This window comes from Homo sapiens, chromosome 1 (genome assembly GCF_000001405.40).
Source record: "Homo sapiens chromosome 1, GRCh38.p14 Primary Assembly".
NCBI classification, from domain to species: domain Eukaryota; kingdom Metazoa; phylum Chordata; class Mammalia; order Primates; family Hominidae; genus Homo; species Homo sapiens.
Genome location: NC_000001.11, coordinates 24,730,009 through 24,755,167, shown reverse-complemented (window position 1 = coordinate 24,755,167; position 25,159 = coordinate 24,730,009). Strand labels below are relative to the sequence as shown.

Here is a 25,159-nt window from a genome sequence, read left to right as displayed (position 1 = left end):
GGTGAAACCCCATCTCTACTAAAAATACAAAAATTTAGTTTTTATAGAGATGAGGACTCACTATTTTGCCCAGCCTATAATTTTTTTTTTTTTTTTGAGACGGAGTCTTACTCTGTCGTCCAGGCTGGAGTGTAGTAACACAATCTCAGCTCACTGCAACCTCCGCCTCCCAGGTTAAAGCAATTCTCCTGCCTCAGCCTCCCGAGTAGCTGGGATTACAGGCGCCCACCACCACGCCCAGCTAATTTTTGTATTTTTAGTAGAGACAGGGATTCACCATGTTGGCCAGGCTGGCCTTGAACTCCTGACCTCAGGCGATCCACCCACCTCGGTCTCCCAAAGTGCTGGGATTACAGGTGTGAGCCATGGCAGTGGGCCTATCATTGTTATTTCTTATTTCTTATACCAATATCTGGAACTGACCACTGAGAGATAAGAGGCAAGTCTCGAAATAGACAATATAATTAAAAGCCATGAGAAAATTCACTAGCTGATGCCCTAAATTACATTTACATGTCTTAAATCATCCTTGGACAATAGGTAACCATGACCTAATGTCATTTTCCTTCAGAAAGTCCCTTTCCATTCTCTATGCAAGCGTCTAAAACAGGCAAACCCATCCTAGCTTACTCCTCTACTTGACCAAAATCTTAACTCATGCCTTAATCACACTTCCCATCCTGCCTAACACATTTTCCTTTTATGGACTCACAATTCCCTACTCAGGGGACATCAGAACACGGAGGCTCCACAGCTCTAACGAAACAGGAAGCGGAAAAGGATGGCTCACCATCCTTACTTACTGGCTTCTAGGCACCTCTGCAGGCATCTTCCCAAACCAACTGTGACATTTCCTGACAGCCAGGTTCTTCTCCCAATTGCCTCTTTCCTATCATTATTCATACTCTGTTAAGCTTTTCGTGTGCTCAGTCTCCTAGGCTCAAAGCCTCCTGCCTCTTCCCCATTCTAGGCTCCTTTCTCACAGGTTTTTACATTAAACCAAAATCATCAAATTTGGCCTTTGCCAAAAGTAGCATTATTAGGTCTTCAGGAACAGCTCAGGCAAAAAGTTAAAATAATAGGTTTTCATTAACTTCATACTTTACATTCATTTCTGTCTCCTGAATTTTCCCCCCGGAAACCTCAAATGAATGGCAAATCAATTAGATTCAAGGTAATATTGTCTGAATATTGAGTTAGCTTTTGTTAATTACCAGAACAGTTTTCAGCATCATTTCCTATAGAAAATTTATTTCATTTTTTTCTGTTAGAAAAAACAAAGACGGGGGGAAGTTTGAAGCCTGTCCTTGAAACAATATAAAGAATTCCCACTTTAAACTGTCAAAACAGTCCATCTGTACAATCCATTTGCACCTTCCCAAGTGCCACTGAAAAGTTATTAAACAGACAGCAATCCAAAAACACAGGAAAGTGTGGGGAGAATGAAAAAAGTTAGGAAAATGTATACATTAACAAAAACCCAAGTTAGGTTTTAAAAGTCTCATCCTCAACTTTTAAATAACTTGTCTCCCTGGCACTATAGATCTGAATCACTCCTGGTTCCTTCTTAGGTATCAATCTACCAATTGTTTCCTGCATAAGGAGTTTCCACATAATGTCAAAACTCACATTCCCATTCTTGGCTATTCCGAACCCACCTATTCACCTCCTTTTTCAAGGTCAAGTTTAAGCCTCCTTCCATCTTTCCCCATGTCTCCTAGCCCTACTTAATGTGAGCCCCACTTGACTCTTTAAGCATGGACCATCTTGTATTGTTTTCTTTCCAATAAAATTTGTAAACCTAAAGAAATTAACTGTTTAATAATTTCTTATATCTTCCATAGTACTTAACTCAGTATTAGCACTTAGTTCATGCCGGTACATTCTTTAAGTCATAGTTAATAATAACTAGAAGAGACCTTTGTGATCATCTAGCCCAAGCCCTTCTTTTATACCTTGCTTATATAAAGTATTCTTGACTCTAAGAATTCCACTATTTACTTCTTTTAGAACAGTGGTTCTTAGCCTTGGTTTAGGAATTTCCAGAAAAAAAGCCTCACATTAGAATTTTTTACTGTAATTTCAAGGATTTACAGAACTCCCTGATCCTACTAATAGAGCCCACATTTAAAAATAATATACTATTAGGCTGGGCGCGGTGGCTCACGCCTGTAATCCCAGCACTTCGGGAGGCCAAGGCGGGCAGATCATGGGGTCAGGAGATCGAGACCATCCTGACCAACACGGTGAAACCCCATCTCTACTAAAAATACAAAAATTAGCTGAGCATGGTGGCACGCGCCTGTAGTCCCAGCTACTCCAGAGGCTGAGGCAGAAGAATCGCTTGAACCCGGGAAGCAGAGGTTGCAGTGAGCCAAGATTGCACCACTGCATTCCAGTCTGGCGACAGAGCGAGACTCCGTCTCAAAAAAAAATAATAATAATAAACTATTATCGATGACAAAAGCAGGTGTTTACTATGTGTCAAGCACTCTTCCTAAAGCTTTACATAGGATGGTATACGGTTAGACCACACTTGCCAGCCTCTCTTGCAGATGAAGCTATGTGATTAAGTTCTCTCCAATAGAATGTGACCGGAAGTAACAGGTAGAACTTCTGAGCTGGGGCCCTTAAGATGTGCTTCCTCCATATTTTCCACCCCCCACTGGCAACAGACAGTACTTGTCACCCACCAACTTTGACAATTCAGAAGAGGACAATGCTCTGGGAGTTAGTGGACAAATAAGCTAGAAAGAGCCCGGGTCCCTTAATGACTCTGAGGAGGAAAGCCACCCTAACATCTAAGACATTCTCCTGGACTGAGGGGTGAGAAATAAACTTCCATCATATTTGAACCACTGTTTGTGGGGGGATAACTTATTACAGCAACTTAAACTACCCTAACTAATATGCACAGATTAACAGTTTTAATCCCCTCAGTAACCATATAAAATTGCTATTATTATTATCCTGATATTAGAAGTTAGGAAACTGAAGCACTGAGAGCTTAAAAACTTGCCTGACATACTAGAAGCCAGATTCAAGTCAAGCAGTGTGGCTCCAGAGTCCAAGCACATTAGGAACCTCTGCCAAATATCTCAAAAGAAACAGACTCTTATGTGTTATGCCACCCTGCACCAGATTAACTTTTTACAAACACCACCCCAATCCCAGCAGCTTGGTGACTACTTGCTGACAGTGATCATCCCAGTTCACAGTGGCACAACAACAAGTTTAAATTCCAGCCCATAAAACTGAACTCCGCAAAGGGATTACTTTCTGTTTTTTGATTTGATTGTTTTTGAGACAGAGTCTTGCTCTTGTCCCTCAGGCTGGAGTGCAATGGCACAATCTCGGCTCACTGCAATCTCCGCTTCCCGGGTTCAAGTGATTCTCCTGCCTCAGACTCCCGAGTAGCCGGGATTACAGGCGCCCGCCACCACGACCGGCTAATTTTTGTATTTTTAGTAGAGACGGGGTTTCGCCATGTTGGCCAAGCTGGATGGAGAAACCCCATCTCTATTACTCTCATTTGTGGTTCAAGAGTTAATATTTAGTTTTACCCAAACAAAAATCTTGGTTCCCCAAATTCTGGACATAGCCAAGAAGAAACACTAGTAAATATATAAAAGACTGGCACGGTGGCTCACGCCTGTAATCCCAGCACTTTGGGAGGCCGAGCGGGTGGATCACTAGGTCAGGAGTTCAAGACCAGCCTGGCCAACATAGTGAAACCCCGTCTCTACTACAAATACAAATTAGCTCCTCATCTCTACTAAAAATACAAAAAATTAGCTGGCCATGGTGGCGGGTGCCTGTAACCCCAGCTACTCGGGAGTCTGCGGCAGGAGAATCGCTTGAACTCGGGAGACAGAGGTTGCAGTGAGCCAAGATCGTGCCACTGCACTCCAGCCCGGGTAACAGTGCAAGACTCCATCTCAAAAAAAAAAAAAAAAAAAAGACTGGAAGTATTAAATGGAGAAAAAAAAGAGGTGAGTACATAAAATTACACTGGGTTTGGAGACTGGAGGCTAGAGAAATCAGGATGAAGAACCATGCTTTGATGCTCCAACCATCGGGATCTCAGTAAGTGGTTTCTAATTCCAAAGCATGGTAGAGACATACATTGACAACAAAATGCTCAACAACAGAATTCTCTGAAAGAAGGGCACAATCTCATTTCAAACATTTGGCATCCTCTTAAGTTGCAGGCACTCTGAACCATATGCACACCCTATCCTCAAGGAATTTACTGTCTATCTAGTAGGGGAGATCTGCCTATAAATATATATTCATACAAAATTATACACAACTAGCATTTATTTGCTTACTGTGTACTAGACATTGTTCTAAGATTGTTGCATACTACATATATTAATTTATCCCATAGGACTGTTCTACTAATATCCCAACTGTGCAGATGTGGCACAGACAGGTTTAAGTGATGTATCCTGGGATACACAATTAGTAACTGGACATATTGGATTAGAAACTCAGGCAGTAGGCCAGGCTCGGTGGCTCACGCCTGTAATCCCAGCACTTTTGGAGGCCAAGGCAGGCTGATCACCTGAGGTCAGGAGTTCGAGACAAGCCTGACCAACATGGAGAAACCTTGTCTCTACTAAAAATACAAAATTAGCCAGGTGTGGTGGTGCACACCTGTAGTCCCAGCCACTCGGGAGGCTGAGGGGTAACAAGAGCGAAACTCCGTCTTAAAAAAAAAAAAAAAAAGAAAGAAAGAAAGAAAGAAAGAAACCCAGATTACAAGGGACCTTATGCCCTTGCTAAAAGGTCTCAAATATACCGTATCTGTTGGTGGTTCCCAGCTGGAAATATATACACCTACCAGGCTCCTGAGTGGGGTAGAGAGCATCTCCACTGTTGAGGATGATTGCCATTATAAGCCTTTGTTGTTTTCCTCCCGAGACAGGGTCTTGTTCTGTCACCCAGATTGGAGTGCAGGTACATGATCATAAGCTCACTGCAGCCTCGAACTCCTGGGCTCAAACAATCCTCCCACCCGCAGCCTCTAGGGCTAGGGCTGCAGGCGTGGGCCACCAGGCCCAGCTTAGTTACTTACTTATTTATTTAGAGATAGGGTCTCACCCAAGCTGGAGTGCAGTGGCACGATCACGGCTCACAGCCAACCTCTGCCTCCCAGGCTAAAGGAATCCTCCCACCTCAGCTGGGACCACAGGCATGTATCACCACACCCAGCTAATTTTTTATATTTTTTGTAGAGATGGGGTTTTGCTACGTTGCCCAGGCTGGTCTCGAACTCCTAGGCTCAAGAGATCCGCCTGCCTCAGCCTCCCAAAGTACTGGGATTACAGGCGTGAGCCACTGTGCCTGGCAATTTTTTTAATAGTTTTTGTAGAGACAGGGTCTCGCCATGTTGCCCAGGCTGGTCTAGAACTCCTGCGCTCAAAAGATTCATCCTCCTTGGCCTCCTACAGTGCTAGGATTACAGGCGTGAGCCACCACAGCCCAGCTGCCTTTTTTACTTTTGAGAGGGCATCCTATCTATCCTCCAGATGTTGAGGGTAAAACAAAACAAAAACAAACCAAAAAAACCATCCTGCTGTTATATAGATGACAGGGAGTTAATGGGCTCACAGGCAGACAACTCCAAAAACTACTCACAAGGAAGGAAATGCAGCTGTGAGTTCAGTCATACTATTTGAGAAGGTGCTCATCTCTCTCTCTTAAATGTGAAGCTCAGTGCTAGCTAGACAGGTAGGCTCAAAGCCCCATTACATCTCTTGGCCTTTCCCCTAGCGCCACCACCAAATTTCTAATTTCCATACATGCTATGTGCTTCAACTGTAAATAGTTTTCTTTTACAAACTCAGATACCTCTTGGCAGGTTAACACTGTTCAACATACCACTCTGGACAACCACAGCCTCTGCACCCTCTCTACTTTCTTTTTTTTTTTTTTAATTTTTATTTTTTGAGATGGAGTCTTGCTCTGTCACCCAGGCTGGGGTGCAGTGGCACTATCTCGGCTCACTGCAACCACCGCCTCCCAGGTTCAAGCAATTCTCCTGCCTCAGTCTCCCGAGTAGCTGGGATTACAGCCATGCACCACTATGCGTGGCTAATTTTTGTATTTTTAGTAGAAATGCGGTTTCGCCATGTTGCCCAGGCTGGTCTCAACATCAAGTGATCCACCCCCCTCCGCCTCCCAAAAGGCTGGGATTACAGGAGTGTGCCACCACACCTGGTCCACTGCTTTCAAAATAACTATATTTACAAGGGTATTTCCCCCATTTGCATTTCCCACACGTAGGTTTTGAGAAGAGATCAAGAATGCCCTTTACCACATTTTACCTGTCCTTTTTTCCCCTTTCAAACAAACTGGTCTAGGGGCCAAGCACAGAGGCTCAAGCCTGTAATCCCAGCACTTTGGGAGGCCAAGGCAGGCAGATCACTTAAGGTCAGGAGTTTGAGACCAGCCTGGCCAACATGGTAAAACCCAGTCTCTTCTAAAATACAAAAATCAGCCAGGCGTAGTGGTGCATGCGCTCCTCGGAAGGCAAAGGCAGAAGAATCACTTCAACCTGGGAGGCAGAGGGTGCAGTGAGCCGAGATCGCGCCACTGCACTCCAGCAGCCAGGGTGACAGAGCGAGACACCATCTCATTAAAAAAAAAAAAAAAAAAAAAAACAAAAAACCTGATCTGTATCAGTGCAAAGTTTGCCTATGTTGAATCACTGGGTAGCAGAAAACATTTCTTATTTCACAAATGAGACAAACAAGGCTTAAAGAGTGAAAACAAACTGCCTAGGGTCACCCAACCAAGGAGTAAAGAACTGTGACTTGAACCCTGATTCTCTGCCACCAAGCCCAATGAGAAAGGCTTACAACTAGTGGTAGGAAGGATGATTTTCAGTGGTTCTCAACACAAATATGAAAAACAGAAAGGGGATGCAAGTGACTCAAGTTTGGAAAACTGCACACGCCCCTCTGCTATTCTAACTGAAAGATGAAATTAATAGTAAGCAGGGCATTAATCACTGATCTCTTCCTAATTCAGATACTTAATTTTTCTTGTCTTCTTTGATTAGCTCCTCCAATAGAATAATAGAATACTGAATAGAGCCATAACTGATAATAGCTTTATCTTTTTTTTTTTTTTTTTGAGACGAAGTCTCACTCTGTCGCCCAGGCTGGAGTGCAGTGACTTGATCTTGGCTCACTCCAACCTTTGCCTCCCCGGTTCAAGCGATTCTCATGCCTCAGCCTCCCGAATAGCTGGGCCCACCACCATGCCTGGCTAATTTTTCTATTTTTAGTAGAGACAGGGTTTCACCATGTTGGCCAGGCTGGTCTCGAACTCCTGGCCTCAAGTGATCTCCCCATCTCGGCATCCCAAAATGCTACAGGTGTGAGTCACCTCACCCGGCCCGATAGTAGCTTATTCTAAGTTTAATACTGTTCTAAAGTTTCACCGTTAAGTATCATGTTTTACAGATTATTCATGGATGCACTTTTTTTGAGTTTATGGAAATTCCTTCCTATTCCTCACTCAGTAAAAATTTTTTTTAACTCATCTCTGGCCCACTTGTTTCCCTTCTCCATGCTGTTTTCCACCCACCACCCTTCCTTTCTTTCTTTTTTTTTTTTTTTTTTGAGATGGAGTCTTACTCTGTTGCCCAGGCTGGAGTACAGTGGCGCAATCTCCGCACACCACAACCTCTGCCTCCCGGGTTCAAGCAATTCTCCTGCCTCAGCCTCCCGAGTAGCTGGGACTACAGGCACGCGCCACCACGCCCAGCTAATTTTTGTATTTTTAGTAGAGATGGGGTTTCACCATGTTGGCCAGGATGGTCTCGATCTCCTGACCTCGTGATCTGCCCACCTCAGCCTCCCAAAGTGCTGGGATTACAGGCGTGAGCCACCGCGCCCGGCCTCCTTCCTTTCTTGTATTTCAGGTTCCTTCCTACATTCTACGCATCTCAAAGTACTATATCTGCCACTCAAAGTAACCGAAACGCTTTGATATTTTGGGGGTTCTATACCTGTCTGCTGTTTCAGTTCCCTGGACCAAAAAAAAAAAAAAAAAAAAAATCGAAAATTGACAATTGAAAGAAAATCCTAAGGCAAACACTGTTCCAGTCATTACTGAAGACTGCAGAGGTAAATGCAGATTATTTCTTCTCTCCATCTCTTTTGTTTGAGACAGGGTCTTGCTCTGTCGCCCAGGCTGGAATGCAGTGGTGCGACGTGGCTCACTGCAGCCTCGACCTCCCGGGCTCAAGCAGTTCTCCCACCGCAGCCTCCAGAGTAGTACAGGCGCGTAACATCGCTCCCAGCTAATTTTTGAATTTTTTTGTAGAGACAGGGTTTCGCCATCTTGTTCAGGCTGGACTCAAGTAATCCTCCCACCTCGGCCTCCGAAAGTGCTGCGATTACAGGCATGAGCCACCGCGCCCAGCCCTTCTCTATCTCTTAAACACATCCTGAAATGTCCTTTCTTTAAAGTAAAAACTCGGGGAAAAAAAAGAACCCAATAGTTCTAGATGACCATTTACTTTCCGGTATGTTGCCTAGCTCTGAATGAGCCTGGCTTTTTAAGTGGCTGGAAGAAGCTCAAAGTGTTTTTTTTAAGTTTTGAGGGAAGGAGCTGGATCCAGATGTTTATAACTTCGACTCTCTCCTTTGCTAAAATAAAAAGTATTAAAGAGAAAAGCAAAGGAAGAGGGGTAGTATGTGTAAGCAAATAAATTCCACACATGAAAGCTGAAGACACAAGGGAAAACCAACCCTTTAAAGCCCAAGCAAGTTAAGAATTCTCTCCCTCAATTTCTTTCAAAACAAAAGGGCACACACAATCCTTCCCGAAGCAGCAACGCCGGGGGGAGAAGCCAAAATGTTGCATCATACAGAACACTCCGCGCTTGAGAAACGAGAAAGCCAGTAAATGCCCAAGACAGAAAAACACAAGTTGGGAATCTCGGTCTTTTCCGAAGGTCCAAGAGCACCTGCTCTTTGGTAAATTTGTTTAAGATTGCATCGAAAATTAAAGTTTCCGTTTCAGACCAGTGGGGAGCAAATGCTTTTTCAAAAACGCGTTCAAAGAAGTTCGTTTGAAAGCTCATCGGGCGGCGGGCCGCAGTTCGGGCTCCGGGCGGCGGACCGGAGCGCTGGGGAGCGGGTGGGGCCGGGCCCCGGCGCCCGGGCGGGGGGTGGTGACAGGACCCGCGCGCGCCCGGCGCTGGGGCCCCGGGGCAGGCAAGTCCCGCCCGTGGGCTCTTCCCGACCCACCCGGGCGCGGGACGCTGGTCTGGCGTCCGCCGATGCCTACGCGCTGGAGACGGTGGCCGCCGCCCGGGTCCCCAACCCGGACCCCTCGACGGGCCCTCGGAGGCGGGAAGGCGCGGGCGGCCCCCAGACAATGGGCCGGGGGCGCGGGTGCCCGCAGCGGGACGGGTGCTGGCGCCGAGCGGGGGCGCCTCAGGAGAGCCCCGGGACGCCGCTCCCCGCAGCCGGGAGGGAGCCGGGGGATCTGCCGGGCGGGACCGCGAGGCGAGCGCTCACCTTGACGAAGAGCTCGATGAGGGGCTCTTTGTCCTCCTCCTTCAGCCCATTCAGCGGCATCGACAACGCCATGGCCGGCTCGGCTGCGCTCCGCGAACGGCGAGGGCTGCTGCTGCTGCTGCTGCTTCTGCTCCGGGACTGCTCCGGCTGCCGGTTCCCGCCGTGCTGCTCGCTGGACTGTCCGGCGTCGAGCTGGCCACGGCTTCAGCTCCTCAGCACCGCCCCACGCCCCCCGCGCCACTCTGAGCCAGCCGCAGCCCGAGCCGCTTCAAACGGCTGGGAGGGGCGCCGGGGGCGGGGCCTCGGGCTGTAGGCAGGGCCAAGGCGCGGCGCCTCGGGACTCTCCGGGGAAAATAAGGCGGCAGGAGCACGGGGGCGTGGCCTCGAGCGGGGAAGGCGGAGGGACCGCTCCGGAGCCGAAGAAAGGACCTCTGCGGCGCCCCACAGCTGGTAGGGGGCGTGGCCTTGGTGGGCGGTACAAAGCTCAGGCTCTGGCGGGCGGGACCCGGGTACGCCTCTCTAGGGGACTGGTGCGGGGGGGAAAGGAGGGGAGGAATTCCCCAGGGGCCCGAGCCTGACACTGCCTCCCGCCGCAGCGCCTGCGCGTCCTCCGCAGCTGCTGCTGTTGCTGTGCCAGGTGACCTCATGCCTCGGCCGCCCTGGGGAAGCTAGGAGGCGCCTCCTACCCACTCCCCCGCTGCAGCACCCCAGGACTCATCGCCCTTTCCCGCAGCGGCTACCTCCCCAAGTCCCTCTATTACGCGGAGTTGCCTTTTCCAAGACAACTTACTGGAAAGTTTTCATCGCCTGGGGAACACCTTTTTCTTCTGCCTCTGACTTCGTTTTTCCCTTTGACGCTCCTGATCGTTTCGATCTTGGCAGCCAGCATATTCACAAATATATATATATATATATATATTTTTTTTTTTTTTTTTTTTGAGACGGAGTCTGGCTCTATCGCCTAGGCTGGAGTGCAGTGGCGCGATCTCGGCTCACTGCAAACTCTGCCCCGGGTTCACGCCATTCTCCTGCCTCAGCCTCCCAAGTAGCTGGGACTACAGGCACCCGCCACCGCGCCCGGCTAATTTTTGTATTTTTAGTAGAGACGGGGTTTCACCGTGTTAGTCAGGATGGTCTCGATCTCCTGACCTCGTGATCCGCCCGCCTCGGCCTCCCAAAGTGCTGGGATTACAGGCGTGAGCCACCGCGCCGGGCGCATATTCACAAATATTTATGAAACCTTACTGTGTTTCAGGCTCTGAGCTAGCCCTTGGAGAGTAACAACTCCCAAAGCTCAAGATCTTGAACTGCAATCTCAGTGCCTGCAGGCCACTAAGGACTTCCAAGTCGTTGTCCATCTTGTTCCCCACTGCCCACACCCATTTCTTCCCCCCGGCTCACCTGTCAAATTTGAGTGTGCATCAGAATCACCTAGGTGCTACACGCAGCCCCGCTTTTTGTGTTTCCCAGATCCTCTGGGAAAAAGAGAAATCCACATCTTAGCAAGCACCAGGACAATTCTGAAGTAGGTGGTCCGCAAACCAGTTAAACTGCCCTGGGATTTAAGCCCCCGAGGGCAAGAGCTGTGCTTGCCTTGAGATTGTAGGCACCTGGTCCTAGTTTGCTGCTGTTGAGTGCCTGGGGCAAGTTTCACCTCCTCTGGAAACAATTACTTGTGCCCTTTTCTGACTTTCCATAATACTTGACTCACAGCTACTCCTCCCAACTTCCCAGGTTGGGATAAATAGTGAGTTCCAGGAGGCCCAGACATGGGAGGTTTGTCTCCATATCCTCGGTGCCTAGCACATACCAGAATGTTTGAACAAATTGTACGTAGGCATGAAAATACAGTGAAACTTGCAATTTCTTCCTCTGCCAGCCCAAAGTAAGTTGCTCAAATTTTCTCACAGAGGCTCTGTGAAAGAGCCAGTGTATCCCAGTGGTCAGGAACACGTGCTCTGTAGTCTGACTGTTTAAGTTCAAATCTGACAAGGCAGTGTCCTTAAAACCCCTAAGCCTCAGTTTCATTATCTAGAAGTGGGTGGGGCTAATTACTGATTCTTGCCTTACCATATGTGCTGCTCCGTCAGTATGGCTGTTAACTGCATTGAGACTTATTCTGTCCCTACCACCCCTGCAGGCTAGAATGTGGCATCATATTCTACTCTCTCTATGCCCGGCTAGTTCGTTGAAAATAAATAAATAAATTCCAGGAGGCTCCCCTTAGATGGGGGCTTGAACCATGAAAATCCTGAAGTGACTGACTAGACTCTGGACTGAACCGTGTTAATTTTTCATAGAATCATGAACTGAAGCAAAGTTTCCTTCCAGAATCCACCCTCTCTGCCCTACCAAAAAGGAACCAAATGGTGAATCAGTTCAAAGCAGATCTAAGCCAAAAAACAATTCAGCAGAAACTCAATGTACCTGAGAATTGATCAAATTGAGGCCGGGCACAGTGGCTCATGCCTGTAATCCCAACACGTTGGGAGACCGAGGCGAGTGGATCACCTGAGGTCAGGAGTTCGAGACCAGCCTGGCCAGCATGGCGAAACCCCATCTTTACTAAAAATACAAAAATTAGCCGGGTGTGGTGGCACATGCCTGTAATCCTAGCTACTCGGGAGGCTGAGGCAGGAGAATCGCTTGAACCGGGGAGGCAAAGGTGGCTGTGAGCCGAGATCACGCCACTGTACTCCAGCCTGGGCGACAGAGCGAAATCCATCTCAAAAAAAAAGAATTTGAGTTAGAGGCAGCAAATATTCCCGGTGGTGACTTGCCCTTCACAGGCTCCAACTGGCCTCACAGCACCAGGGTATGGAAGGAGGAACAGACCAGGGCCCTTTAGGCTTCATTGACTAAACAGAGATCTTAGCTAGGAGGAAGCCAGGGGCATTCTCCACAGAGCCCTGAGGTGGTGATGATCTCCTGGGCTCCTCCTACCCAACAGGAAGCCCCCCAGGAAGAGGCTCAGACCCAGAGCCTGTGCTTAGACGTAGTCTCAGTCACACCTACAGTTTCCCAAGTTCCGCCCTCATATGGCTCCCATGGATGGGCAGTCAGTCCTGGGAGTGGGTGAAAGGGAAAGAGGATGTTTATGCAGGGGAGGCCCCCTAACCACATAGCAGTCAAGTCTCCTCTTCGAATTTTGAATTGCATGCCTGCTTTACATTCTTTACTCAGGCTTGTTTTTATAGCACACAGAAATCTTTAAGATGGGTGGAGACATGTTGTCTCCTCCCACACACACCCCTCTGACCTCATCTCCTACCATTCTCCCCTGTGCTCTCCACCCCAGCTTCACTGGCCTCCTTTCTAGTCCTTGGATATGCGAAGCACACTGTGGCCTCAGGGCCTTTGCATTTGCTCTTCCCCCTCTCTGGAACATTCTTCCCCCAGAATTTCTGCAACTCCCACTCCCTTACTTCCTTTGGCTCTTTGCTCAAATGTCATCTTCTCAGAGCGCTCTCCCCAAATACCACCCTATGCAACGTTGCAAGTTGCTATCTTTCACTCCACCCTCCACTTTATCTCTCTTCATAACACTTACAACCCTCTGATACATATCTACCTATTTATCTGCTTATTGTCTGTCTTCTCCCACTAGAACATAAATGCCATAAGGGCAGGGATTTTTTGTTTGGTTTTGTTTATGGCTATATTCCTGGCTCAGAGGACAGCTCATGGTACACAATAAAAATTTATGGAGTGGGCCGGGCGCAGTGGCTCACGCCTATAATCCCAGGATTTTGGGAGGCCAAGGCGGATGGATCACCTGAGGTCGGGAGTTCGAGACCAGCCTGACCAACATGGAGAAACCCCGTCTCCACTAAAAATACAAAAAATTAGCCAGGCATGGTGGTGCATGCCTGCAATCCCAGCTACTTGGGAGGCTGAGGCAGGAGAATCGCTTGAACCTGGGAGGCAGAGGTTGCAGTAAGCCGAGATTGCGCCATTGCACTCCAGCCTGGACAACAAGAGCGAAACTCTGTCTCAAAAAAAAAAAAAAATAGCTTATGGAGTGAGTGACTGTACCATGTTTATCCTATGGTTTCATGTACCCCTGACATGACATTTGGATTGTCACGCTCTTCCAGTCTGGGAAGCCAGGTGGTTTGTGTTTATGACTGCCCCTACACAGGGGGTCAGGTTTTCCTCCAGTAAGCCTCCCTTGATGACACTTTCCTCCTCCCACTTCTAACTCTGTGGTGCTGCTCGCTGACTGTCTCAGCCCAAAGTTCTGCAATTTCAGCAGCAGAATGAGCTGCTATGCACATGGACTCTGGGGCCAGACTGCCTGGGTTCCAATCCTGCTTCTGTTATTTACTAACTCAGGATACTTACTTAACCTCTCTGTGCTTCATTTTCTCATCAGTAAAAATGGATCTAAATTAGTACCATTTTCTCGTCTGTAAACATGGATCTAAAATTAGTACCTATTAATATTTAATAGGATCATTGATAAATTAGTCTATGTTAAGAGCTTGGATTGTAAGTGCTCTGTAGACACTAGCTGTTGGTATTATTCCCATCTGTCCATATTCTTGACCGGTCACTGAGCTCTCACACTGCATGCCAGACACCTAGCTGGGTGCTTTCATATCCAATCATATTTATTCATCATGGTCTTGCAAGGCTTGATTTATTTATTTATTTATTTATATTTATTTTTATTTTTTTTGAGACGGAGTCTCACTCTGTCGCCCAGGTTGAAGTGTAGTGGCACAATCTCATCTCACTGCAACCTCCACCTCCCAGGTTCAAGTGATTCTCATGTCCCAGCCTCTCAAGTAGCTGGGATTACAGGCATGTGCCACCACACCTGGCTAATTTTTGTACTTTTAGTAGAGACGGGGTTTTGCCATGTTGGCCAGACTGGTCTCAAACTCCTGACCTTAATTAAGTGATCCACCCGCCTCGGCCTCCCAAAGTGCTGGGATTACAGGCATGAGCCACCATCCCCAGCATTGCAAGGCATAATTTTCATTGTCCCCATTTTACAAATAAGGAAACTGAGGGCCAGGCACGGTGGCTCAAGCCTGTAATCCCAGCACTTAGGGAGGCCGAGGCAGGTGGATCACTTGAGGCCAGGAGCTCGAGACCAGACTGGCCAACATGGTGAAACCCCATTTCTACTAAAAATACAAAAAGTAGCTGGGCTTGGTGGCAGGCACCTGTAATTCCAGCTGCTCGGGAGGCTGAGGCAGGAGAATCGCTTGAACCCAGGAGGCAGAGGTTGCAGTGAGCCGAGATCGTGCCAGTGTACTCCAGCCTGGGTGACAACAGCGAAACTCTGTCTCAAAAAAAAAAAAGATTTCCTCATGCTCCCCAGAATGGCATGCAACTTATTTTTTATTTATTTTTTTAATAGGAGAAAAGTCATACAAATTGATTTCACATACATACACAGGAGCCTTCAGAATGAAGACCCACCTCCCCCATGAATTACGGAAACTTATATATCATCTTGAGGTTACAGAAAGAATGGGAGCTTGCATCCTGGTAAAACAGGCTATGTGAAGGGGGAGAAGAATTCTGTTTAGGGGCAATAAGGGGTTGGGAAGGAGAATGACTGGATGGGGGAGCAGGGATTAACTTGTAAATAGTTTTCTTTAGAATTTAAATGATCCTTGGAGACAGTCATTATCCTCATAAAAAGACCTGTTCAAGTGTGGTCACGTCTTAGTCTTCTTTTCTATATCACAAGATGTAAGTTTTAGCTTGCAGGGCCACAGGTCAGGAACCCTCTAAAGGACCTGCATAAACAAGGCACAAGGCCAGTCTTTCTAAGGGACGTTTATCAGTTCTATAAAGTCTATTTCAATTCCTCAAAGCAGTTTGCTCATATTTTAAAATATCCCATTCTGGTCAAAACCTTGATAAAATAACTGGTGTTTCCAATTGTGTCCCCTTTGCAGGCAGGTGAGTTTCCTGGGTTCTCTTCACTACGGCTTCCAGAACAGAACAGTAGCTTTGATCACCCTGATCACTGCACCATACTGTGGAGGCCGTAGGCTCCCGGTCCCCTAAAAGTTCACTGAAAAGTTACTGACATGAGGCAGATTGGTTAATAGGAGAAAAGGCATACAAATTTATTTAATATATATACACAGAAGCCTTCAGAATGAAGACCCTGACATGCCACTTAAATCTAATAAATGGGGCCGGGTGCGGTGGCTCACGCCTGTAATCCCAGAACTTTGGGAGGCCGAGATGCGCGAATCACTTGAGGTCAGGAATTTAAGACCAGCCTGGCCAACATGGTGAAACCCATCATTACTAAAAAAAAAAAAAAAAATACAAAAAATCAGTCAAGTGTGGTGATGTACGCCTATAATCCCAGCTACTCAGGAGGCTGAGGCAGGAATTGCTTGAACCTGGGAGGTGGAGGTTGCAGCGAGCTGAGATTGTGCCACTGCACTCCAATGTGGGTGACAGAGCAAGACTCTGTCTCAAAATAAATAAATAAATAAAAATTAATTAATTAATTAATTTTTAAAAAGCTAATAAATGGTTTATTTCTAGAATTTTCCATTTAATATCTTTGGATTGTGGGTAACTGAAACTGCAGAAATCAAAACTGTGAATATAGAGGATACTACTGTATAACAGAACCTACTTCAGGAACTCATTGTGAGGATTATATGAGGTAATCCATTTAAAACATTTAATAATCAGCATTTAATAAGTGCTAGCTATTACAGGCTGAGCATCCCTACTCCAAAAACCCCAAATCCAAAATGCTTCACAATCTGAAACTTTTTGAGTGCCAACATGACACTACAAGTGGAAAATTCCACAAAAAAGTGCTGAATACAAGCACTTTGGGAGGCCAAGGCGGGCGGATCACGAGGTCAGGAGATCGAGACCATCCTGGCTAACACGGTGGAACCCTGTCTCTACTAAAATACAAAAAAGTAGCCGGGTGTGGTGGCGGGTGCCTGTAGTCCCAGCTACTCAGGAGGCTGAGGCAGGAGAACGGCGTGAACCTGGGAGGCGAAGCTTGCAGTGAGCCGAGATGGCGCCACTGCACTCCAGCCTGGGCAACAGAGTGAGACTCCGTCTCAAAAAAAAAAAAAAGGTACTGAATACAAACTTTGTTTCATGTACAAAATTATTTGAAATGTATAAAATTACCTTCAGGCTATGTGAATAAGGTATATATGAAACATTAATAAATTTCGTGTTTAGACTTGGGTCCCATCCCTAAGATATCTCATTATGTATACTCAAATACTCCAAAATTCAAAATAATCCAAAATTTGATATCTGAAACACTTTTGGTCCCAAGCATTTATTTTTTTAATTTTTAAGTTTTAATTTTTGTGGGGACACAGTGGGTATATATATATATATATTTATGGAGGTCCCAAGCATTTAAATAAAGGATACTTGCCTGGTTATGGTGACTCACACCTATAATCCCAGCACTTTGGAAGGCTGTGGCAGAAGGATCACTTGAGCCTTTTTTTGTGGAGATGAGGTCCTACTATTTTGCCCTGGCTTGGTCTTGAGTTTGAGACCAACATAGTGGGCAACAACTGGGCAACATAGTGGGACCTCATCTCTCTAAAAAACCCCCAAAATTAGCCAGGCATGGTGGTGCACACCTATGGTTCCAGCTATTCAGGAGACTGAGGTGGGAGGATCACTTGAGCCCAGGAGGTCAAGGCTGCAGTGAGCCGTGATCACACCACTGCACTCCAGTTCTGGGTGATTGAGTGACACCCTGTCTCAAAAAAAATAAATAAATAAAAATAGGGCCAGGCAGGGTGGCTCGCCCTTATAATCCTAGCACTTTGGGACGCCAAGGCAGGATGATTGCTCGAGCCCAGGAGTTTGAGACCAGCCTGGGGAACACAGCGAGACCCCAGTCTTTGTTAAATTAAAAAAAAAAATTTAAGAAAAAAAGATAGATAAGGGATACTCAACCTGTATCACTAGTCATATCAATGTCCTCTTCCTTGGTATACTGTGAGATTCTTGGAGGCAAGGAACCCTGCCATATACGTCTTTACTTGAGTAAAATATTTCACTTCCTTTCTGTGTGATGTTTGAGCAAGTTATGCTCTCTACACTTCATTTCCACATGTAAAGTGATGCTAATTATACTTCATGGTGTTGTTATGGAAAGTAAATGAGTTAATAAATGTAAAGCACATAACAGTGCTTGGCATAGAGTAGATGTTCAATAAATGTTATTATTTTACTATTATATGCATTTATTTCTGGAAGAATACACAAAAAATTTTTAAGTGTTTACTTCCAGGGAGGAGAACTGGGGAACTGAGTCACTGCTGACTTATATACTGTTTTGGTTCCCATTTTGTAACTTTTGTCCTAGGGGTATGTGTTATCTATCAACAAATTGGTTTAAACAAGGGAAAACAGGAGCCGGGCCTGTAATTCCAGCACTTTGGGAGGCTGAGGCAGGTGGATCGCCTGAGGTCAGGAGTTCGAAACCAGCCTGGCCAACGTAGTGAGACCCCATCTCTACTAAAAATACAAAAAGTCAGCTAAGTGTGGTGGCGGGCGCCTGTAATCCCAGCTACTAGTGAGGCTGAAGCAGGAGGGTCACTTGAACCCGGGAGGCGGAGGTTGCAGTAAGCTGAGATTGCACCATTGTACTCCGGCCTGGGCAACAAGAGCGAAACTCTGTCCAAAAAAAAAAAAAAAAAGGGGAAAACAGGGCCAGGCATGGTGGCTGACGCCTGTAATCCTAACACTTTGGGGGGGCCGAGGCAGGCGGATCACTTGAGGTCAAGAGTTTGAGACCAACCTGGCCAATATGGTGAAACCCCATCTCTACTAAAAATACAAAAATTAGGTGGGCGTGCTTGTGGGCACATGTAATCCCAGCTACTCGGGAGGCTGAGGCAGGAGAATTGCTTGAACCCAGGGAGGCGGAGGTTGCAGTGAGCCAAGATTACACCAGTGCACTCCAGCCTGGACAACAGAGTGAAACTCCCTCTCATAAATAAATAAATAAATAAATACAGTTGAAATAGACTTCTGAGTGCAATTAAGCCTGAATGCATGTTCAGTTTCCAGTTCTGTGTGTAGGGAACTGGAGCCTCAGGCAGGGCTTGTGTTCCCTGGCTCACTTGGTTTTCTTCCCTGTCCCATAGTTGGGTGGAAACAGAACTAAGATTAGAACCCAGGACTCCTCATTTGGCATTTGAACCCTTTCCGTTGCTTCCCCATGAGGGACTGAATCCAGCTGCTGTTCCTGGCTCTTCCCACCACACGTGCGCACACATGCACACGCGCGCGTGCACACACACACACACACTCTCTCTCTCTTTCTCTCTCTCTCTGTATTAAAACTATTCGGGCCCAATGCAGATCTGTTCCCCTGGGAGCAGAAACCTGACTATCAGCCCCTTTCTGCCCTGCTCGCCTGGAGACTATCTCATCCTGGGGACATTACAGGTTTCATTTTGTCACTTGGAAGCTGCTCCAGCCAGGAAGGGAACCCGAGTTGACTTGAAGCCAGGCCCTTAATTGGATTGGATCCCTGTGGAGGCCATTAGCCTCTTGCTGCAGCTTGGCAGAGAGGAAATACTTCCTCCCCCACCCCAACCCCCACCCACATCCACCCTGGCCAAGATCTTCCAGAGCTCTACCACCCACATAAGACACTGTCTAGAGTTTCCAATTACTATTACTCTCCCTCTCATTAGGACAGCTTTGTGCTGTCTGCAGACACTAACAAATATGCTAAGTATTGTCAGCAGAGTCTCATTTGATCTCTTCGTCCACTCAGGCTGCACATTTTCAGCGAGAACCTACTGTGTGTGCTGGGCACGCTTCCAGGCCCAGGACAGACAGCATCTTGGCTCTCATGAAGATTACATTCTATTTGGGAAGGCAGACAATAAACAAATACCCGGGCAAGTATGTCTAATCAGGAGATTATAAGAGCTATAAAGAGGAGTAAAGCAGAATGAGGGGCTGGGGAAGGACACGGGGACAGGGAGGAGGAACAGTCTCTCTGATAAGATGACATTTGAGTAAAGACCAGAAGGCCGTGGGGATAATATCTGGACGCACAGTTCTCTTTGCTGGCAAAGGGAACAGCAAGGCCGAAGGCATTGAGGCAGGAATTTCCTTGGTATGTTGGGGGAACGGTAAAGATGCAGATGAGAGATCAAGGTCCAGAGAGTTTGGGTGACTTGTTTGCTCAGACCTCCTGCCACCAATACAGTGGCTTTTGTCCACCACTCTGCCTAGTGAACCCTGAAGAATAGCAGAGGGTTAAAAAAACTTATGCAGCTGGAGGCCAGATGTGGTGGCTTAAGCCTGTAATCCCAGCATTTAGGGGGTTTGAGGCAGGAGGATTGCTTGAGTCCAGGACATCGAGACCAGTCCCAGCAACATAACGATCCGTCTCTACAAATACTAATAAAATATTAGGGCTGGATGTAGTGGCTCACGCCTGCAATCCCAACACTTTGGGAGGCCAAGGCAGGTGGATCACTTGAGCCCAGGAGTTTGAGACCAGTCCGGGTAACATGGCAAAACCCCATCTCTACAAAAAATACAAAAATTAGGTGTGGTGGTGCATGCCTGTAGTCCTAGCTACTCAGCAGGCTGAGGTGGGAGAATCACTTGAGTTCAGGAGGTTGAGGCTGCAGTGAGCTGTGATCATGCCACTGCACTCCTGCCTGGGTGACAGAGTGAGACCCTGCCTCAAAAAAAATAAAAATAAATAAAATAAAATAAAATAAAAATTAGCTGGGTATGGTGGTGCACACCTGTAGTGCCAGATAATTGGGAGACTGTGGTGGGAGGATCACTCGAGCCTAGAAAGTCAAGACTGCAGTGAGCCGTGGCTGTGTCACTGCACTCCAGCCTGAGTGACAGAGAACCTCTCTCAAAAAACAGGCTGGCATAGTGGCTTATACCTGGAATCCCAGCACTTTGGGAGGCCAAGGCAGGTGGATCACTTGAGGCCAGGAGTTTGAGACCAGCCAAGCCAACATGACGAAACCCCATCTCTACTAAAAATACAAAAATTAGCCAGGTGTGGTGGCGTGCACCTGTAATCCCAGATACTTGGGAGGCTGAGGCAGGAGAATCACTTGAATCTGGGAGGTGGAGGTTGCAGTGAGGCGAGATCATGCCACTGCACTCCAGCCTGGGCAACAGAGCAAGACTCTGTCTCAAAAAAAAAAACAAACAAATAAACAAAATAAAACAACCAAACGAAAAACTTATTTAACTGGATAACCCAGATCACCCCGTGATGAATAAATAACCCAATCCCCCAAAGAAAAAGATAGCATTTAGGAGGATATCCATGGCTATAATATCTATAAAAACAAAAGAATAAGAAAAGCAGGCCAGACACAGTGGCTCATGCCTGTAATCCCACTACTTTGGGAGGCCGAGGTGGATGGATCACCTGAGGTCAGGAGTTCAAGACCAGCCTGGCCAACATGGTGAAACCTCGTCTCTATTAAAAATGCAAAAATTAGCCACGTGTGGTGGCACGCACCTGTAGTCCCAGCTACGCGGGAGACTGAAGCAGGACAATTGCTTGATCCCAGGAGGCGGAGGTTGCAGTGAGCCGAGATCGCATCACTGCACTCCAGCCTGGGTGACAGAGCGAGACTCTATCTCAAAAAAAAAAAAAAAAAAAAGAAAGAAAAGCAATATTTAAAACTACCAATCATTAGAAGGTAGAACCAGGCTGGGTGTGGTGGCTCACACCTGTAGTCCCAGCTACAGAGGAGGCCAAGGTGGGAGGACCACTTGAGTCTAGGAGTTCAAGACCAGCCTAGGCAACATAGCAAGACTCTGTCTCAAAATTTTTTTTTTTTTAAAGAAGAAGGCTGGGCACAGTGGCTCACGCCTGTAATCCCAGCACTTTGAGAGGCCAAGGTGGGCAGATCACCTGAGGTCAGGTGTTCGAGACCAGCCTGGCCAACATGGTGAAACCCATCTCTACTAAAAATACAAAATTAGCCGGGCGTGGTGGCACATACCTGTAATCCCAGCTACTCAGGAGGCTGAGGCAAGAGAATCGCTTGAACCCAAGAGGGGGAGGTTGCGGTGAGCCAAGATCACACCATTGCACTCCAGCCTGAGCAATAAGAGTGAAACTCCGTCTCAAGAGTAAAAAAAAAAAAGGAGAAGTAATGTTTGCTGGGTTTACATTATACTGTGCTTGTAACACTCTATGCTGAGCTTCTACATATGAGGAAACTATGGCTTGGGGAAGATAAGTGACTTTCTTTTTTCTTTTTTTTTTTTTTGAGACAGAGTCTCGCTTTTGTTGCCCAGGCTGGAGTGCAGTGGTGCCATCTCGGCTCACCGTAACCTCTGCCTCCTGGGTTCAAGTGATTCTCCTGCCTCAGCCTCCTGAGTAGCTGAGATTACAGGCGCCCACCACCATGCCCGGATAATTTTTTTGTATTTTTAGTAGAGACAGGTTTTCACTATGTAGGCCAAGCTGGTCTTGAACTTCTGACCTCAAGTGATCCGCCGGCCTCGGCCTCCCAAAGTGCTGGGATTACAGGTGTGAGCCACCACCCTGACCGATAAGTGACTTGTTTAAGATCACATAGCTTGGGTTAAACTCAGGTCTAGTTATATGCCTGTCTCTCCTTCTAGACCATAAGCTCTGTGAAGCCAGGCTTATCTCTATATTCACCTTCGTATGGCCAGCATGTAACACAGAGCCCGGCTTAAAGTTGGTGGTCAAAAATGTTGACTAAATAATTAAAGATCTCTAGCTTCACAGCCTGTTCCAAATCTAATACAACACTTTGCTTTCCTGTCAAAATATGCCAGCCTGGGTGACTTGGTGAAACCCTTCCTTTACAAAAAATACAAAAATCAGCTAGACGTGGTGCTGTGCACCTGTAGTCCCAGCTGCTTGGGAAACTGAGATGGGAGGATCACTTGAGTGTGGGAGGTCGAGGCTGCAGTGTGTTGTGATCATGCCACTGCATGCCAGATTGGGCAACACAGTGAGTGACCCTGTCTCAAAAAAAAAAAAAAGTCCATCCAGTCATTAAAATATTCTGCAGCTGTTAAAAATTATAGTTTGCTTAAAGTAAAACATAGTTCATCTATATAATAGAATGATACATAGTCATCAAAAATTATGTTTGCACCTACCTAGACACACACATACACAATTATGTTGAAGGTTGCTGGAATGGAGCTGCTGACAGAATAGGCACTGATGGAGTTCGTCACCAGGATGATGACATTCTGTGCTTCGTGGCCTCAGTTCATTGCTGCCCACTGCTCCACTAGCCTCTGTCCCAACCCCAACCCCAGCCCAGCTTCAGTTTCCTAGCTAAGCCTAACATAGCAGCCTAGAGGGTCAGAAATCATCATCATCATTACCACCACCATTATTATATTATTATCCTACACTAAGTGTAGCCTATTTAGTATTACTCATAATTACCAGTATAGCCTACACTATTACCTTATTCATTTATTTATTTTTGAGACAGAGTCTCATTCTGTTGCCCAGGCTAGAGTGCAGTGGTGCGATCTTGGCTCACTGCAACCTTCACCTCCTGGGTTCAGGTAATTCTCCTGCGTCAGCCTCCAGAGTAGCTGGGAATACAGGTGCCCACCACCATGCCCAGATAATTTTTGCTTTTTTTTTTTTTTTTTTGAGACAGAGTCTCACTCTGTCACCCAGGCTGGAGTGCAGTGGCACAATCTCAGCTCACTGCAACCTCCACCTTTTCCCGGGTTCAAGCAATTCTCCTGCCTCAGCCTCCCAAGTAGCTGGGACTACAGGCGCATACCGCCACACTCGGCTAATTTTTGTAATTTTGGTAGAGACGGGGTTTCACCATATTGGTCAGGCTGGTCTCGAACTCCTGACCTCAGGTGATCCACTCGCCTCGGCCTCCCAGAATGCTGGGATTACAGGCATGAGCCACCGCACCTGGCCTAATTTTTGTATTTTTAGTAGAGACTGGGTTTCACCATGTTGGCCAGGCTGGCCTTGAACTCCTGACCTCAGGTGATCTGCCAGCCTCAGCCTCCCAAAGTGCTGGGATTACAGGCGTGACCACTGCACCTGGCCTAGCCAACGCTGTTACTAAATGAGCACTTAATATGTGCCTGACTGAGTGTATTTCATATACAATCTCACTTAATACCTATAACCTGGGTTGAATATTACTCCCATTTTGCAGAGAAGAAAATTGAGGCTTAGCAGGATTAAATCACTTGCCCAAATCAAACAGCTTAGTAGGTAAGCAGCAGAGCTGGGATTTGAACCTGTCTGTTCTGACTCCAGATGCTGCACCTTGCTATGCTGTCCTGCCCCACTCCTATCACCCATCACCTCTCTGTGGGCAGTGCCCTGTGTCCAGCAGTCTCCCCACGGATGCCCACTCTGCCATTTGCCCTTTGACCTCAGAATATGAAGATGACCTTCATCACGGAGAAGTGGCTCACACCACAGAGCTGGGGTGCATTTCCTACTGCCTAAAGGTGCAAGTACAGCCAGCTCTGGCCCCCAGAGCATGCAAGGGGTGGTCTACTTCCCAGCTGCTTCCCTGCCACAACAGAGCAAAACTTAACAATTCTTTCCATTTGCAAAGTTTGGTTTGAATAAGGACATTTCTTCTCCATTGCTGGAGTCTCATGGTTCATTTATTTGGTACTTGAAGGCCTGAACAGTCAGTCCTTCAGATCACAGCTAGGTAGCACAGGGGGCGTTAAGCTATTTGAAATTCAAGCCAGCAAATGTATTATTTCAAAGCTGACAAGTGCCCTTGACGCTTCAAAAGAATAACCGAGTTCCCCAGCTCTGAGCCGGGCTGAGTCTCTGCAGCCAGAGGAGACGCAGCAAGCGCAGGGACCCGGAAAAGCAGCGGGTCGGTTGTTTTCCCAGCTGCATCCTACGCCCTGGAGGTCCACCTGGCTCACTTGCTGGCAGCTTGGGAGAGACTTGCAGGCTTTGGCTTGGTTGGTTTGTTTCCCGCATGGAACAGTCGCTAATCTCCTCACGTAGAGCTAAGCTTCCTATGGCAGTGTCTGGATTTGAACCAGGACTGCAGGTCCTTGCGTGGAACACTGGGTCCTGCCGCATCGTGTCCTGCTGCGTCTGAGAGCGCACCAGGGACAGTCCATTACAGAAGGACAACAGCCTTGCCTGAGCTGACTGCAGACATGGCCAGGGTCCTAAGGGTTGAGCTCGACACTTATTTTTTTCCCACCTTGTTTGCCTCTTCATTTTTAGGTGAGGCTTGAGAAGGAGTCCCCTCCCCCTCCCCTCCCCCTCCCCTCCCCCTCCCCCTCCCCCCTCCCCCCTCCCCCTCCCCTCCTCCGCTTCCCCACCTCCCCCCACCATGGAGTTTGGCTCTTGTCGCCCAGGCTGGAGTGCAATGGCGCTATCTCAGCTCACTGCAACGTCCACCCCCCTGCCACCAGGTTCAAGCCAATCTCCTGCTTCAGCCTCCTCAGTTCAAGTGATTCTCCTGCCTCAGCCTCCCAAGTAACTGGGATTACAGGCACCCGCCACCATGCCCTGCTAATTTTTGTATTTTTAGTAGAGACAGGGTTTCACTGTGTTGGCCAGGCTGGCCTCAAACTCCTGACCTCAGGTGATCCGCCCACTTTGGTCTCCCAGA

General features: G+C 47.3%; 1 protein-coding gene across 1 annotated transcript in view, besides 8 other annotated features; it reads right to left on the bottom strand.

The window, feature by feature from the left end:
• Positions 1 to 9,721, bottom strand: part of CLIC4 (chloride intracellular channel 4) — a 98,875-nt gene extending 89,154 nt beyond the window's left edge. Inside the window, exon 1 of the mRNA NM_013943.3 lies at positions 9,543 to 9,721. Within this exon, the coding sequence (NP_039234.1) occupies positions 9,543 to 9,614 (72 nt within the window). The 5' untranslated portion in view covers positions 9,615 to 9,721. The remainder of the gene's footprint in view (positions 1 to 9,542) is intronic.
• Positions 5,609 to 5,688: a silencer, noted in NCBI's record as "silent region_439". NCBI's record gives its function as "represses an Ori minimal core promoter by ATAC-STARR-seq in GM12878 lymphoblastoid cells {active_cell/tissue: GM12878}" and the evidence as "EXISTENCE:reporter gene assay evidence [ECO:0000049][PMID:35858748]".
• Positions 9,150 to 9,309: a silencer, noted in NCBI's record as "silent region_438". NCBI's record gives its function as "represses an Ori minimal core promoter by ATAC-STARR-seq in GM12878 lymphoblastoid cells {active_cell/tissue: GM12878}" and the evidence as "EXISTENCE:reporter gene assay evidence [ECO:0000049][PMID:35858748]".
• Positions 9,150 to 10,412: a biological region, named in NCBI's record as "hESC enhancers GRCh37_chr1:25071247-25071852 and GRCh37_chr1:25071853-25072458".
• Positions 9,201 to 9,806: an enhancer, noted in NCBI's record as "H3K27ac hESC enhancer chr1:25071853-25072458 (GRCh37/hg19 assembly coordinates)". NCBI's record gives its function as "activates a minimal SCP1, AML or CMV promoter by ChIP-STARR-seq in primed H9 embryonic stem cells {active_cell/tissue: H9 hESC(primed)}" and the evidence as "EXISTENCE:reporter gene assay evidence [ECO:0000049][PMID:30033119]".
• Positions 9,410 to 10,119: a silencer, noted in NCBI's record as "silent region_437". NCBI's record gives its function as "represses an Ori minimal core promoter by ATAC-STARR-seq in GM12878 lymphoblastoid cells {active_cell/tissue: GM12878}" and the evidence as "EXISTENCE:reporter gene assay evidence [ECO:0000049][PMID:35858748]".
• Positions 9,807 to 10,412: an enhancer, noted in NCBI's record as "H3K27ac-H3K4me1 hESC enhancer chr1:25071247-25071852 (GRCh37/hg19 assembly coordinates)". NCBI's record gives its function as "activates a minimal SCP1, AML or CMV promoter by ChIP-STARR-seq in primed H9 embryonic stem cells {active_cell/tissue: H9 hESC(primed)}" and the evidence as "EXISTENCE:reporter gene assay evidence [ECO:0000049][PMID:30033119]".
• Positions 11,625 to 12,230: an enhancer, noted in NCBI's record as "H3K27ac-H3K4me1 hESC enhancer chr1:25069429-25070034 (GRCh37/hg19 assembly coordinates)". NCBI's record gives its function as "activates a minimal SCP1, AML or CMV promoter by ChIP-STARR-seq in naive H9 embryonic stem cells {active_cell/tissue: H9 hESC(naive)}" and the evidence as "EXISTENCE:reporter gene assay evidence [ECO:0000049][PMID:30033119]".
• Positions 24,402 to 24,992: an enhancer, noted in NCBI's record as "H3K27ac-H3K4me1 hESC enhancer chr1:25056667-25057257 (GRCh37/hg19 assembly coordinates)". NCBI's record gives its function as "activates a minimal SCP1, AML or CMV promoter by ChIP-STARR-seq in primed H9 embryonic stem cells {active_cell/tissue: H9 hESC(primed)}" and the evidence as "EXISTENCE:reporter gene assay evidence [ECO:0000049][PMID:30033119]".